The sequence below is a fragment of the Homo sapiens genome, chromosome 15, assembly GCF_000001405.40.
Source record: "Homo sapiens chromosome 15, GRCh38.p14 Primary Assembly".
In the NCBI taxonomy this organism is placed as follows: domain Eukaryota; kingdom Metazoa; phylum Chordata; class Mammalia; order Primates; family Hominidae; genus Homo; species Homo sapiens.
In genome coordinates, this window is record NC_000015.10 from 101,385,612 (window position 1) to 101,400,388 (window position 14,777).

Here is a 14,777-nt window from a genome sequence, read left to right on the forward strand (position 1 = left end):
CGATGAAATATAGTATTTTTCATACTATCTGTACACAGAGAATAGTATAAAATAAGAGCATTGTTCCTTTCTTCTAATCAGTATTAAATGCTATGCAACCTGGATATTTGAACATACAAGCTTTCTGCAAGGCTGCTTTAAAACATGGTAAAGATAACACCTACATGTGAATCAGTAATGAAAGGAATATATTTTTGCCCTATCAAACAGCTGAGTGAAAAGAAAGATGTATGGGCTCATGGTTCCGGCCGCCATTTGACAGATAAATATTTATAGATCTTTTATTCCTTTTTTAGTCGGTTAAATTGATGCCTACCTAGGACTTTCTATTCAATCAGAAAATTAACCAAGAATAAACGAACATCTCTCGAGTCCAAGACTCTCACTCCCTAATATCACAAACACATACTCTTTCCTTCCAGACCATCTTCCCAGGGCTCGTTGGGATGCAGGTGACCAGAAGCACAAGCCCCAGCCTTGTCTCGGTGCACGTTTACTAGGAACGCACACCGTGCTCTCGGTGCGTGTTTACTAGGAACGCACGCCGCGCCACAGGTGCTGCCTCAGGGAATGTGACCCTAGGAACACGGACTAAGTAAAATCGGGGGAGCTGCTGCAGCTGAGGGGGCCTGGAGACGCAGAAGAGAGAGAGCTGAAGTACCCAGCTGCCCCGGCCTCCCCAGTGGCACCTGCTGGGATGTCACAGGCGTCTCTCCAGTGGCCCACTCTGTGTGTGGGTGTGCGAAGACGTACAGAACACAAACTTTCCCATTTCAACCATTTGTAAAGGTACAGCTCAGTAGCATTAAGGACGTTCACATTGCTCTGGTACCGCCACACCCACCTCCAGAACTTTTCACCACCTCCAGACTGAAACTCTGTCCCACGGGACACTCAGTCCCCATCGCTCCTTCTGCAGCCCCTGGCAGGCACCACGCTACTTTCTGTCTCTATGAGTTTGATGGCTCCAGGTCTTCGTGTAAGTGGAACCACACAGGATTTGTCTTATTTCCCTTAGCACAACGTCCTTGAGGGACCTCATCATAATCTGTATCCGAATCTCCTTCCTTTCAAGGCTGAATGTTCCACGTGTGTACAGAGCACACTTCGCTGATCTCTTCGTCCATCATGGACACTCGGGTTGCTCCCGCCGTTCAGCTGTTGTGAACCATGCTGCCATGAACATGGCTGGGCCGGTATCTACCCGAGTCCCTGCTTTCAATCCTGGATATCACCCACAAGTGGGATTGCTGATCGTCTGGGGAGTCTGTTTAATTTTTTCAAGGACGCGCTACACTGTTTTGTATGGCGGCTGCTCTGCACACTCCCACCCTCGGCCCCCTCTTTGCCTGTTTTCCTACGAGAAGCTCACCCATGGCGTTAAGTCTTGGGTATACTCCTTCCCTGGGCTCACACTCTCCAGGCTCCAGCCCTGGCCTCCCCTGACTTCTCCAATGTGTTCTTGCTGCTCCTGGCTGGTCACTGGCTTCCTCACCGTCTCTCCCCGTCCGTGTCCAGTGGCTCAGTCTCCAGGACTTTCCCTGCCAGGCACACCTGTTCTCCTCCTGCATCCACTGGCCTTCCTGCGGCCCACACGCCAACCTCACTGTTAGGGGAGATTCTGAGGCCTCGAGTAGCCCATGGCCGTGCACCCTGGTAGAGAGGTCACAGGTGCAGGCTTTGGAGTTTAGACAAGTGCTGACATGGCCACACCCCATGCTGCCCGTGCAACCTGGCAAGTTACTGCTGTGTGTCAGCAGGGCGTACTCGAAGACGGCTACAGCCAGTCCTCCTGGAAATCTTGAATTTAGGTGCCGGGATGACCTTTGGAGTGGAGGACAGAATGGGTCCAGGGAGTGAGAAAGTTAGGAACCATTTTCTTATGAAAAAATCTATTTTATTTTTGACTCTAGCAATAAAATCACAAATATAACCGCATGGAAAATATGTCTAAGAGAGGATGTTGAAAATGTTTTTTGATGAAGAACGGATGTTTGAAAAGTACCAAGACTGTCCCAAAACCATGGGACTCCCTTTAGAGAATTCCAACACGTATGGGTTTTCCTTCATTCTGGCCCCACGCTGTCTGGGGGCCCTCCCCAGACTCTCAGGGAGCATCTCCACCCAGAACCATCTGGCTTTGCCCCAGTTCCTTCCACAGCAGTAGTGAACAGAGAGAGAAGGCGGCCTGGGGCCAACCTGCACAGGCGAGAGCTATCCCAGGCTACAGGTCTGCTCAACACAGGTTTTCAAATTCCCAGACATCAACCGTTCCTTCCTTGACCAATCCTGTAAGTGTCGAGCGCTCTAGACTGACATTGTTCCAAATGATGTTTGCCTGATCCGTCCCCTGTATGTGTCTGAGGAGGAGCTAACATGATGAGGAAGATGACCGTCTGAGCTTTCACATGCCCACTGACCAAGTTTAAGGGGACAATGCGCCCCGGAGCAGGGTTTGTTTTCCATTTAGCTCTTTGCATGTTTCCAATAAGGAATGGAGGAAAATACAGCGCAAGGAAGGGTAAAGTATGCGAATGTGAGTTTCCACACAAGCAACTCATTATGAAGAATTTTTAAAAAGAGCCTCAGGACACAGAAGCTAACATTTTGGCCTGGAAATCAAAAATATCAAACTGTTCCTTTGTTACATTGGTAGCATTTGAGTGTTACGCTCAGTTTGTCTTGTGCAAATCCACATGCAAACACACGTAATTACAAGCATTGAGGCATCCCAACCATTCTTTTTGAGTTATTTGAAAACTCATCTACAACAGATGACTACTGCAGAGGGCTGGTTTGTTCTCTGCCAGTTTTGGTGACTAAAGTACAATTTGGTTTTGACTCTATGACTCCATGTGCGGTTAACTTGCTTTTCTTTCTGAACCAACAACACATACGCAACTCAAGAGATTTCTTGACTGTTAATTTATAAATGAAAGTTCCTAAAAGGAAGCCAGCGCAACCTAAAGTGTGGATTTGCTGTGAGGTGCAGAATCAGAGGCAGGCCTTGGACTCTGGCCCAGCCAGCCCCTGTGTCCTACAAAGGGCAGGAGACTTGGGCTTTAAGAAAGGAAGAAACCACTTCACGCCCATCAGGATGGCCTAAAAAAAGGAAGGAAATTTTGATACGTTCTACAAACGGGTGAACCTTAAAGACGTTATGTGAAGTGAAATAAGCCAGGCACAAAAGGACAAATCCTGTGTGATTCCACTTACATGAGGCACCTAAAGCAATGAAATTCATAGAGACAGAAAGTAGAATGGTGGTTGCCAGAGGCTAGGGCGGGGGGTCAATGGGGAGTGTTATAGGCTGAACTATGTCCCCTCCAAAATGTATTCATCGAAGTCTTAGGCCCCAGTACCTCAGAATATGATTATATTTGGAGATAAGGCCTTTAAAAAGGTAATTAACATAAAATGAGATTATTAGGGTGGGCCCTAATCCAATATGACCAGTGTCCTTATAAAAAGAGGACACAGCAGAAGGGGAGAAGTCAGCTTTCTGCAAGCCAAGAAGACACCAACCCTGCTGACACCTTGATCCAGGAATTCCAGGCTCCAGAACTTTGAGAAACTAAATTTCTGTTGTTTGAGCTGCCCAGTCCGTGGGACTCTGTTACGGCAGCCTGAGCTGACTAACCTGGGCAGCTGCTGTTTAACGGGCAGAGGGTTCCAGCCTGGGAAGAAGACGAAGCTCTGGGAGAGGGATGGTGGTGCAGGTGCACGACTCACTGAATGTGCTTAATGCCGCTGAGCTGTCCACTTCAATAGGGTGAAAATGGCCAATGTCATGTGTATTTTACCACAATCTAAACATTTTTTTTTTTTAGAAAAAGGTAAGTGGGAACTTACTTTGCTTCTAGAGCCAAGGCGATGATGCCCGCCACCATGGGGGCAGAGACTGAGGTCCCAGTGTGGCCATCGGTACAGCGCTGACGCAGATCCGTGGTGACCTGGGGGAGAGAGAAGCACAGTGAGGCAGTGATGGCAGACAGGCTAACTCACTCTGTGGAGAAGGCTGGGCTACTTCAGGTGCCACTAACTGGCAAGCGTGACCCTGGGTCTCGGGAACAAATAAGGTGTTAGGCAAATGCATCTCGGCAACCACAGGTTTCCACAACATCTGGTGCTCCCTGCTAAATCACTTTGTAGGAAGACAGGCAGGGGCAAGAAGGCCAGCTGGGAGCACAGACCGTACGCTTTGATAATAATAGATCAGCTGGTTCCCTCTCTACTGCAGAAGCGCATGTGGAAAAAATGGTAAAACAACATGAAACCAAGACGCACCCCACAAGCCCTCATCCCTGGGTCTGCCGGACTTTGTGGCCTGTCACCAACAGCCGAGAGTACCCACGGCAAAACCATCAGAGTCCACACTAGCTACCCCTAAGTCACCCCCTGACTTCAGAGCAGCTAGAGATACCCAGGTGGCTCAGAGAGAGTTTCTGCCTTTAGCCAGTAGGTCATAAGCTGGGTTCTCCACCAGGACGTCCTCCTGAAGAAGCAGATCAACCTGGCATGTTCTTGACCGCCCAAGGCCTACTGCACAGGGCAACAAGGCAGGTACCGCTAGCTGGGGGCTCTGCCTGCCCTCCTCGGAGGCACTGGCCCAGGCTGGGTGTGGGATGGATTCTGGACCTCACTACCACTCAGGCTGACGTGTATCTCCCGTTGGACTCAAACGGGAAGTGGGTGCTGGGGGTTCAGCCTGTGTGGGTTCAGGTGTGCTAGGTGGGATTGTCGCCCCATCATCTTTGTCCCCTGGTGTTATTCCAATGAGCTTTGCAGATAGAGTTAAGGTTGGTAGCCAGCCGACCTTAAACCAGGAAGATTATCCTGGATTATCTGAGTAGACCTGCTGCCACCACAGGGCCCTCCACCTTGGAAGAGGAAGGCAGCAAGGCTGTTTGAGAGAGGAAGCATTAGAAGGACTGGACCCACCGCTGCTGGCATTGAAGAGGGAGCTGAGGAGTAAGCCAATGAATGTGGGTGGCCTCCAAAGGCTGAGAACGGGCCCCAGCTGACAGCCCACAAGGAAATGGGAAACTCAGTCCCAGAACCACAGGGACCTGAGTTTTGCCAACAGCCCGAGTGGGCAAGGAAACAGATTCTCCCGGGAGCCTCCGGAAGGAACCACGGCCCTGCCAGCACCTTGGTCTTGGCCTCGTGAGACTCAAAGCAGAGACTCGGCTGAGGCTCCTGGACTTCTGGCCTACAGGACCATGAGATATCAATTTGTGCTGTTTTAAGCTGCTAAGTTTGTGATAATTTGTTATGGCAGGAATAGGAAAGTCACACCCACCCACCCACCACAGGACTCCAGTAGCCGATTTGCCTAACCTTTGAGAATCAATTTCACAGTGAGAGCAATCCAGATCCTCTTCCGAACTCAGCACCTTCCTTGCACACGTTTGAGCTGGGCCAACTGTCTAGGGAAGGTGGGGGTCTGGTCTGTGTCACACACAGGAAGATGTGACGGGAAGGCCAACAGAGACCAGTTTCCTCCTTGTTCGTTTCAGTGGGGCTGGGGTACCTCAACATGGGGAGGGCAGCTGAGGGCATGGGAAAAGGGACAAAAATGCTCCCTCTCTGACTCCAGCATCTTCATATGCAAATGGACACCATGATATAGATTTCAGGGGTTCTCGGCAGATCACAGCCAGGCACCTGAATGTACTTGGGCTTGGTAAATGGTGGCCAGGAGGAGAAACTAGGGGTGGCTGGGCAGGAGGCCACGCTCCCAAGAGCATGTGAGGCTCACAGCTGGTTCTCCAGCTTCAGAGAAGGGGGTCCTGGGGAGCGAGCAGAGGGGCCTACCCTGGGAGGGATGGCTGAATCAAGGTGGACAGCCCCTCCTGAGTCCTAGTGCCACGCCTGGGACACAGCTCGTGTTCAGTGAACGAACATACCCTCTTGTTCTGGTGAGAGATGCTTTCTTTAGGTTTTACTCCTCTATAAAGAGTCATGTGTCACCACAGGACATCCCTCGCTCCAGGTGGACACACCTGCTCACATTCCTCAGACTCAGAGGGACAGAGAATGCAGGCGGACAGGGTTGTGATCGCCATCACAGGCCTGCCTGAATGCTGGGACTGTGATATGTCGACTATCCTGAGCAGCACTCGTCTCCCTGGAGGACGTCTAAGAGGACTCAGAACAAAAGCTGGACTCTAGTAGAGCTGAAAATAACACCCCTCCTGTCAGAGCAGACTTCCCGGGCAGTGACCAAGACAAAGTATATTTTCTCTTTTACCGTTCTCCAAACTATACCCTTCTTACCCACATATTATTGCTCAGGGAAGAGAATTTTAAAATAAGAAAGAAAAAGCATTTTATAGCCAAGGCACGCACACATGCATGGCATACAGATCACACGCTGACGTGATTCGTAATGCAAATAAAGCTGCAAGTCCTACTTCCAGGGTTGAGAGACACCATCCTGCCTGCACGCAGTCCATGTTATAAACTGTCCCATAACTTAGCAAATTCGAACCTGCATCCATTCGGCCAGCAAGACTATGTTGGGTTTTGGCCAACTGTCTGTCTAATAAGACCCTAGCAGGTCCGTGCTCAAATGAGCTGGATTTCTACATAAACAGGACACCATTCAGCATCTCAGCTGCCCGTCCCAGGGGTGCGTACTCCAGCAGAAAAGGAAAATAACAAATTAATACCTTAGTTAACCAGGCCGAGCTGCTACCAGGCTGGCGACAGAACGATGGCAGCTGACCTTTCACTGGTGCGGAGCAAAGCCGAGAACAGGAAGCCTGTATGCTCCCACAGAAAAGTGTAAAAATAAATTTGCAAATAACTTCGAAAGATGTGGCTGAGCAGCCGCAGAAATGAAAAGATGCTAGTGAGCTTTAAAATTTAACCATGTCTGGCCAGCTCCACAGTCTCATTTTTAAAATGTCTACAAGTCAACGTAATGACTTTGCACTTCAATTCTGCATTAATTTGAACTGGAAACCCTCCCTTCCTCTTTTTTTTTTTTTTTTTAAGTAGGAAAGTATGTAGGGAAGGAAAAAGCACAAATTCTACCTGAGTACTAAAACAGTTACCTTTTAAAAGACAAATCATGCTTATGTTCACTTAAGTAAGCGGAACAGACAGAAACCACTGCTCGACTTAAAGTGTCCAGAAAAAGTGCTTCTGTAGCAACAGAATGCCTAGAAGAACTCCTGGATTTCTAGAATGTCTCAGTATAAAACCAAGTCTTTCTCTTACTCTGTTGTACACGCTGGAACTGGATGGGTTCATTGGATTCCAAGACATGTGACCACAGAATTTCAGAGTTAAAACAAGACATCATGAGAAGGAACCTCGTTCTTAAATAATATTTTTAGATCTCTAAAGCCAGAGAGGGGTTTAACTGCTATTTCTGTGCAAAGATTAGAAAGCCAGTGTCCGAGGAAGGCTGCCAAGGGACTGGGGTTTACCTCCAGGCTCAAATTGTTCGCCGATGGGTGAGGCTGGGACCCTGGGATCCGGAACAATCTGGCCTCAATCTAAGCCATCTTTCTGAGAAAGGGAGAAGAAACTCATTCCCAGAGGGCTGAGGCACTCACTGTAAGCACTCCAACTTGCCAAGAGAACTTACGATTTTTCGCTCATAAAAGGCCCCACTGCTGTAGGTGGTGGCCAGGGTGGAGGCACACTCTTCCAGGTACCAGGGCTTGTAGCCATTCTCGGTGGCGCTGCTGACGGAGATGGTGTAGATGCTGTTGGTGTAGCCATCGCACGAGCAGTAGTCCCCCTCTCTCCCGCCATTCCCAGATGCCCAGACGAAAATGGAGCCCAGGCCCTGCCGGCCCTGGAGGGACAAGAGGAACAAGGCTTAGCCCCGCAGCAGAACCTCGTAGGGTGGGTCTCCCCCCGAACCTAGAGTCCCATCTCCCAAATGTTCCTTCAAAGGGATAAGAAGGTTGCATTCAGACCATCTGGATGCTGCTGAGAGCATGGTTTTGGGGGCTCTGTTTGGATTTTAATGGTGTGCCTTTGCCTGTAGCAGCAGCCTTAAAATTGCAGAATCACAGGATCATACGAGGGGAAGGGGCCAGAAAGACTCCTCTGTTCTTCACAGGAAAATCAAGGGTCCCAACACAAGCTGCTCTATTCCAGAGCCATGCCTGTCATTTCCATCGCAATGGCCTAGGATCAAAGAGAGCTAGCAGTGCTGCAAATGACACTGAGATTACAGATGATGGAAGAATTTACAACTTTAATTTTTCTGGGTTGAAAGAGCTGGTCTGGTGGGGAAAAGAATGATTTTTCTGGAAAACATACTTGAAGAGGTACCCTTCTTGCAGAGAGAGCTAAATTTGCAAAGAGGGATAGGACCATGAACTCTGCGTGAAGACAGAATAGGTGGAAAGGGTTACGTCCAGGAAGCTGGTAGCAGCTTGTGGGTGTCCTGTCAGAGCTCCCTGTGGTCTCTGCAGTGGGTAAGTATCAGGGTGGTCTGATTTATATCACTAGCCAAGGCCAGGGCCTCATTTGTGTGTAGGTTTTCTTTCCGTTTTTTTGTTTTTTGTTTTTTTTTTTTTGAGACAGGGGTCTTGCTACGTTACCCAGGCTGGTCTGGAACTCCCGGGCTCAGGTGATCCTCCTGCCTTAGCCTTCAGAGTAGCTGTGCCTATAGAAGTGTGCCGCCATGCCCAGCTGTGCACCGGTGTTCATTGTTAAGAACGTACACATGAAAGCAAGTCTTTGAAAGACAGCAGCCAGTCAGGGCAGATTCCTGCAGCTCCGCTCTATCCCATACCCACAGGATGGATGATTTCTGACCACACTGAGAATCATTCCAGCCACAAGTACCAGCTAAAGATTAGCGAGTGGAAGACTGAACTGACGGATATAGTCCAGATGGCTGGATGGGCTGGTGGTGCACAGCTGGCCCGAGAGAAGGGCCAGCATCCACCTCCACGGGAAACTGGAGCCACTGGCTGGCCATCACATCCTTACTAAGGACCGTCCTTCCCAAACAAACAGAGGAAATTTATACTTATGCTCAACAATCGGCCAATTTAAAGATAACTTACACACCAATTCTGCAATCCCCGTAGAGCCAAATTGAAGCCTGCTGCTGACCAAACATGTCACACTCACTTTTGGAGCACAATGAGTGGACCCGCCTGCTCTGTACGCTCACACCACGGGGGTTTGTAAACCAAGGAGACTCCAGCTCCAACTTGAGGCTCCCAAGAAAGCCCACAGGAAAGTTCTTGGAGCTCACGCAGCCCCGCTGCTTAAGGCTGCCGCGTCCACTCTGCTTTCTGCATCTGCAAGGTGAACCTGTCGGGGTGGCCAAGAGCTCAACAGAAAGGTCCCTCCCAGAAAAGCTAACCTTCTGAGAGAAAGGCACAAAGAGCTCAGGAAGGTGGTGTGTGTGTGCACGTGATTACCTGCAGGAAGAGATTCAGCTGAAGCCGGTTTAAAGCAACTACAATGCAAATCAAAAGGTATTTAACCCATCAGAGCCTGTCCTTATTCCAGGTGAGAATTAGTCCTAGACACTGCCACTCCTAACTCCCCACCCCACTTGAAATGACTTATAAAATGTTGTCCTTTTGCAAGGTGGAGCATGCAACCTTACTGCTCCAGGAGCAGAGAATGGCCAAAAACAGTGCTCCCCAAACTTGAATGTGCACACCCTGGAGTCACCTGGGAACCTGTTACAATGCAGACTTGTGCCCCAAAGTCCAGGGTGGGCCTGAGAGTGTGCATCCCTAATGAGCTCCCAGGGGACGCCAGTGCTGCTGGCTCTGGACCCCACTTTGAATACCAAGAGCCTGAAATGCTCAAGGTTTGCATTTACAGCATGTAGCATGCATTTACTATGAGACCAACCCATCCTCATAGGCATCAAGGTACCAACAACCTTTCCCCTCCTTAAAACGGTTTCTGGGAAGGAGACATGGAAATGAGGCGAGGAAACAGCCAGGTCTGAGGAGTGTAGAGATGTTTTAACTGTCTCTGACGACTTTATTTTCACTTCCCAGATCTTCCAGTGGCTTCATGGAAGCCATGGGACAGAAGCTGTAGGGGACATTTCAACCCTAGCCATGAACTTGCACTTCTTTTCAGTAAACTCACAACTTCAACCCAATCAAATCGTATTTCGATGTCTTCCCTGGGGAGGGAGAGTTCATTTCATGAGCTCAGAAGCACCGCGACTGAGGGCCAGCAAACACCGGCCACCTGGACGCGGCCAGTGTCTTTAGCCACAGCAATGTCTAATGGTCCCTTCTGAATAACTAGGTGTGAGAGGAGCCAGGCTTCCTAAGGACCAACGTTAAACAGATCTTTGTGCCAAGTTACAGCTTCTACAGTCTCTCACCGCCGGGCCACATCATCTACCAAAGATAAAGTCAGATTTTACAGAAGACTGTAGGCGACAAATAGGGCCACAAGGAGGAAAAGCAGATGGGGGAATGTGGTTTGGTTTGAGATCATCAAATTTCTAGGAGGATTTTCAGTGACAGATCGAGACAGTTGCGATTTAAGGTTCTCTGTATGACATATTTTACTTCCAAATGACGAAAAAAAATCAAATGACCTCAGTATTTCACAAAACTGTGACAAGAATGAGGGGAAACCACGTGGTCCCCTCTGCAACTTCCCCACTCCCCTGACAGCTGGATGAAACCAACACTGCTCAGAATTCCGAATGCAAAGATCCCTCTCTGCAGCTCCAACCTCCCCAAGCCTCCCATAGGCTCAGTGAACCAGAGAGCCCGAACGATCACTGCCAAACAACCAGGACCCCTCCTGGACGGAGGGTGCCTCATCCTAGGAGCTCCATCTTTGGAAATCATCCCGTAGAAATGACAGACGCTCAGCAGGAACACCATCCAAAGCAATATGTTCTATGCAGGAAACCCGCCCTCCAGCTTACCCACCCTCTCCGAAGCTTAAATTCAGCTTAATTTTTAGGATGTCTCGCTTGTCATCAAGACTGAGATCCAAGCGATCTAGTGGGTTGGAGCTGGGAGCTAAGTAATGGAAGGGTGATTTATGTATTCGGCAGTTCTTGGTGGGCAGCAGCTGACTTGGTCATACCCGAGTGTGCCAGCACTCACTCAGCCCAGCCTTGGGCCTGGCTTAGGTGCTCAGCAGCCTCATTGAAGCTGCCTCGGTGTTTTCTTGGGGGAATGGAGATAAAGGAAGCTGTCCAGTGTCCCAAGGATGCCCGCAAGACCCCATGCTGTGTGCGTGCGTGTGTGTGTCTACACCGCCCCTCTTCCTTAATTTTCCTTCTCACATTTAGTGTCTGGGTGAGTACTAAACTCGGAGGGACAGGTGGGTAGATACCCTGTATTTGGTCATTGGTTTCTCAGGCATTCAAGACCTGAGTGGTTGGGGGGTGGGGGCAGTAGAGGAGGAAGCTTCCGCCTCACACTTGCAGAGTGACACCAAGTCCTTCGGAGGAGGTGCAGGCAGGTGCAGCTGGCAGGAGGCAGAGGATGCAGTGTAGGCCTGACGCCCGGGAAAGGTAAGAAGTGGAGGAAACTCCAGGGTTTCGGCAGGGCAGCAGGGCTAGGGGTCTCCTGAGAGAAAAACGCTCATTCTGATAAGAGGAAATTAACAGATGGTGACCAAACTCAACGCACCCAGGAAAGCCATCAAATGATATTACTTAGAGAAAGGAAATCATGAACATGGTTTGAAAACAGATTCCTCCTCCGTGGGGCAGGACTCGGGGGTGGGCAGACAGAGACAGAGAGAGGCTGTTTGCAGTATAATCTCTTCCTACTATCCGACTGACTTACTAGCTGTTTATGAGCCACACTGCAATCACTATGCATGGGTTATAATACGATGAGAACTGTAAAAATATTTTAAACGATATAAATTTAATGGGCTTGACTCCTGCCACCCCCTCCCATTCTCCCATCCCCCACAGGAGGAGTCAGAGAAGCCTGGACTTCCTGCTGGAACTCCCCTGGTCCCCACTCCCTACAGCAGTCACTGACCACACATTGTACGTTGGGCTGGGACCTGTTCGGCCACCCAGGGCCTCCTGGACGCTGACCACAGCTCTGTCTGCCTGCTCCAAGAAGCTGTCCTCACCCAGAAATCTGCCTTGCCACCCTGTTTGTAAGAACTGGCTCATCTGCAGCCACCTCCTCCCCCTTCCTCAGCCTTCCTGACACACAAGGATCCGGAACCAAAGACCACAGAGTGGCTGGCGGGTGGCCTCGCAGGAGCCTGCCAGCCTCCCCTTGGCCCATCGGCAGAGAAGCATCTTTGCCCTGCTTAGCCCCTTGTGAGGTTCCCCTGGAGAAGTTCAAAGTGGGCTGGGCTGTGCGCTGGTGGGGGACACCCCGACCACTGCTTCCTGCTGCAGCGGGGCCTGGGTGAGCACATACCCCGCGATGAATGCACAGAGTTCCACAGCTGGGTGTTTCTAAGGGCAGGTGGGCCGAGGCCCCTGCAGAGTCCAAGTAACAGGCCAGGTGAGCTGCCTTAGACCCCCGTCACCCACCTGTGTACCCCCTTCAGCCAGGGATGGGCAAACTCCAAGGCAGAGAGGGTCGTGCTAGCAGTGGCCACCTGGCTGTCACTGGAACAGCTGTTCTGGAACGAGGCAAAAACACTTCTGCTCTCGCCGGTCAAGAGCCACTTCTCAGACTCCCCGAGTGACTCCTCCACACTGGCCCTGGCACCTGTCACAGCAGAGTCTTCCCTGTCTTGTTTCAGGGCTGTGGCCAGTGTCACTCTGATACTTGTTAAAATGTTTACTGTCACCCTTGTCCCAGAGCGCTCCCCTGTAGCCCTGGTTACTCACACCTTTTTAATGCCATACTCGAAAGCCTGCTTAGCCAGTCGGCCGGGCCCGTCCACCGTCTTGCCGTCGTCGTCCGGCCCCCAGCTGGCACTGTAAATGTCGATGTAGTTGGGTCTGATGCCCAGCGACTTTGCCTCGACCACATCTGTGACATCGCCGTCCAGCATGCGGATGCCTGAAAGCACAGAGGAGGCTCGGTGTCGGCGCCCAGGCTCCGGGCACACAGCGACGGGAACCCGGGCCCAGGAGGCTCGGATGAGGACACCGCATCACAGAGTCCCTCCCCAGCAGGGGCTGTTCCCAGTCATTCTGCAAAACTGGCTCCTCTTCTCCATGCTGGCTGATGTGAAAGAACTCAGGCCAGGGCAACAAAAGAAAGCAAGCTACGTCCCAAAGAGAGGGTTCAGCTTCCCTCAGTGCTATGATGTCCTGCTGGTATCTAAAAATGCATATTTCTGTTTTTTATTTTAAAAAACAAGACCTATTATTATTATTATTATTATTTATTATTATTATTTTGAGACAGAGTCTCACTCTGTCACCCAGGCTGGAGGGCAGTGGTGCAATCTCGGCTCACTGCAAGCTCCACCTCCCGGGTTCAAGTGATTCTCCTGCCTCAGCCTCCCGAGTAGCTGGGACTACAGGCACATACCACCATGCCTGGCTAACTTTTATTTTTAATAGAGACAGGGTTTGGCCATGTTGGCCAGGCTGGTCTCGAACTCCTGACCTCAAGTGATCCACCTGCCTCAGCCTCCCAAAGTGCTGGGCTTACAGGCGTGAGCCACCACTCCTGGCCAAAAGGCACATTTCTATAATGGAACTCCAGAGGCTTTCCACCTCTCCCAGCTGTTGAGAGTTCACATCTGTTTCTCTCTCCTTTATAATTCCACTCCGACGTATAACTTATGATGAACCAAATGATGAGCTTTCAACCTGGAAGACAGAAGCCCGCACCCCAGGTTGCAATGGAGGGGACTGGGGTCTTGGACTTCGCTGGCCAGCTCATCTCCATTTGGGTTTGGGTTCTATGTTCCCTGGAGGGGTCTTTAGAGGTGGAGAGTCCAGCTTCCTCGAGAGCACCCCAAAAAGAGAGGGGTGAGGGGCTCCCATAAGCCTCTCCCAATGCCTGCCATCCCAGCCAGGGGCGTCCCTTCTTGCCTCATACTTGGCATTTGCCTTTATTACTGGGTGCCCTCTGCAGCCAGAAAGTTGCCCCAGCAACAGTGCCTCCCCCAGAGAAGGCATCTGAGAAAAACCTGGCATGAAACGGGGAAGCAGGGGGTAATGACGGCCATGGACACACTCTTCCTGGATTCTAGTAGATACAGAAAGTCGACTTCTCTGGGGCTCAGAGAATCTTGCCACCCGACCCTGGGTCAACTCTCTTCATGGCCACTTGACACCCACAGCTCCCCACTCAGAGGCCCCCGGGAGCCCCTCACCCACGGGGCCCAGCTCTGTGTGTGCGATGACCATGCCTTCATCAAGACGAATTCTAAATCTTAGAGCTATTTAAGACGTAATGGAAAAGAGGACTTCTTCTGATTGTAAGAATAGTATATGCTCTTGCCCAAACTTTGGGAAAAAGAGAAATAACCAATAATATTTTGGCTATTTTCTTTTCTTTTTTTGCTTTACAGATGGGGTCTCACTCTGTCACCCAGGCTGGAATGCAGTGACACAGATCATAGCTCACTGCAGCCTCAAACACCTGGGCTCAAGCAATCATCCCACCTCAGCCTCCCGAGTAGCTAGGATCACAGGTGCACACCACTGCACCTGGCTGGTTATTTTCTTCTAGTCTTTTTCTTTGCCTCTGGCATATACTTTCTTTCTAAATCCTTTTTTTCCCCCACTGAGCTTTATACAGGGCATTTCCCTGTGCCATTAAAGACTCTTCCAAGGCTTAGTGGCTGCAGCTCCCTGCCATCATGCACACACCCCTGGCCCAGGCAGCTTCCTTCTGGGGTTCACCTTCTGAAGT

At 50.4% G+C, this 14,777-nt stretch overlaps 1 protein-coding gene across 7 annotated transcripts in view, besides 2 other annotated features; it reads right to left on the minus strand.

The window, feature by feature from the left end:
* Window positions 1-14,777, minus strand: part of PCSK6 (proprotein convertase subtilisin/kexin type 6) — a 185,775-nt gene that overhangs the window by 81,679 nt on the left and 89,319 nt on the right. For all 7 annotated transcript variants that reach the window (NM_001291309.2, NM_138319.4, NM_002570.5 and 4 more), the window contains exons 7-9: window positions 12,793-12,965; window positions 7,601-7,813; window positions 3,853-3,953 (exon numbers count right to left, since the gene is read on the minus strand). In NM_001291309.2, the coding sequence (NP_001278238.1) occupies window positions 3,853-3,953; window positions 7,601-7,813; window positions 12,793-12,965 (487 nt within the window). The remainder of the gene's footprint in view (window positions 1-3,852; window positions 3,954-7,600; window positions 7,814-12,792; window positions 12,966-14,777) is intronic.
* Window positions 747-1,248: an enhancer, noted in NCBI's record as "H3K27ac hESC enhancer chr15:101926563-101927064 (GRCh37/hg19 assembly coordinates)". NCBI's record gives its function as "activates a minimal SCP1, AML or CMV promoter by ChIP-STARR-seq in primed H9 embryonic stem cells {active_cell/tissue: H9 hESC(primed)}" and the evidence as "EXISTENCE:reporter gene assay evidence [ECO:0000049][PMID:30033119]".
* Window positions 1,249-1,748: an enhancer, noted in NCBI's record as "H3K27ac hESC enhancer chr15:101927065-101927564 (GRCh37/hg19 assembly coordinates)". NCBI's record gives its function as "activates a minimal SCP1, AML or CMV promoter by ChIP-STARR-seq in primed H9 embryonic stem cells {active_cell/tissue: H9 hESC(primed)}" and the evidence as "EXISTENCE:reporter gene assay evidence [ECO:0000049][PMID:30033119]".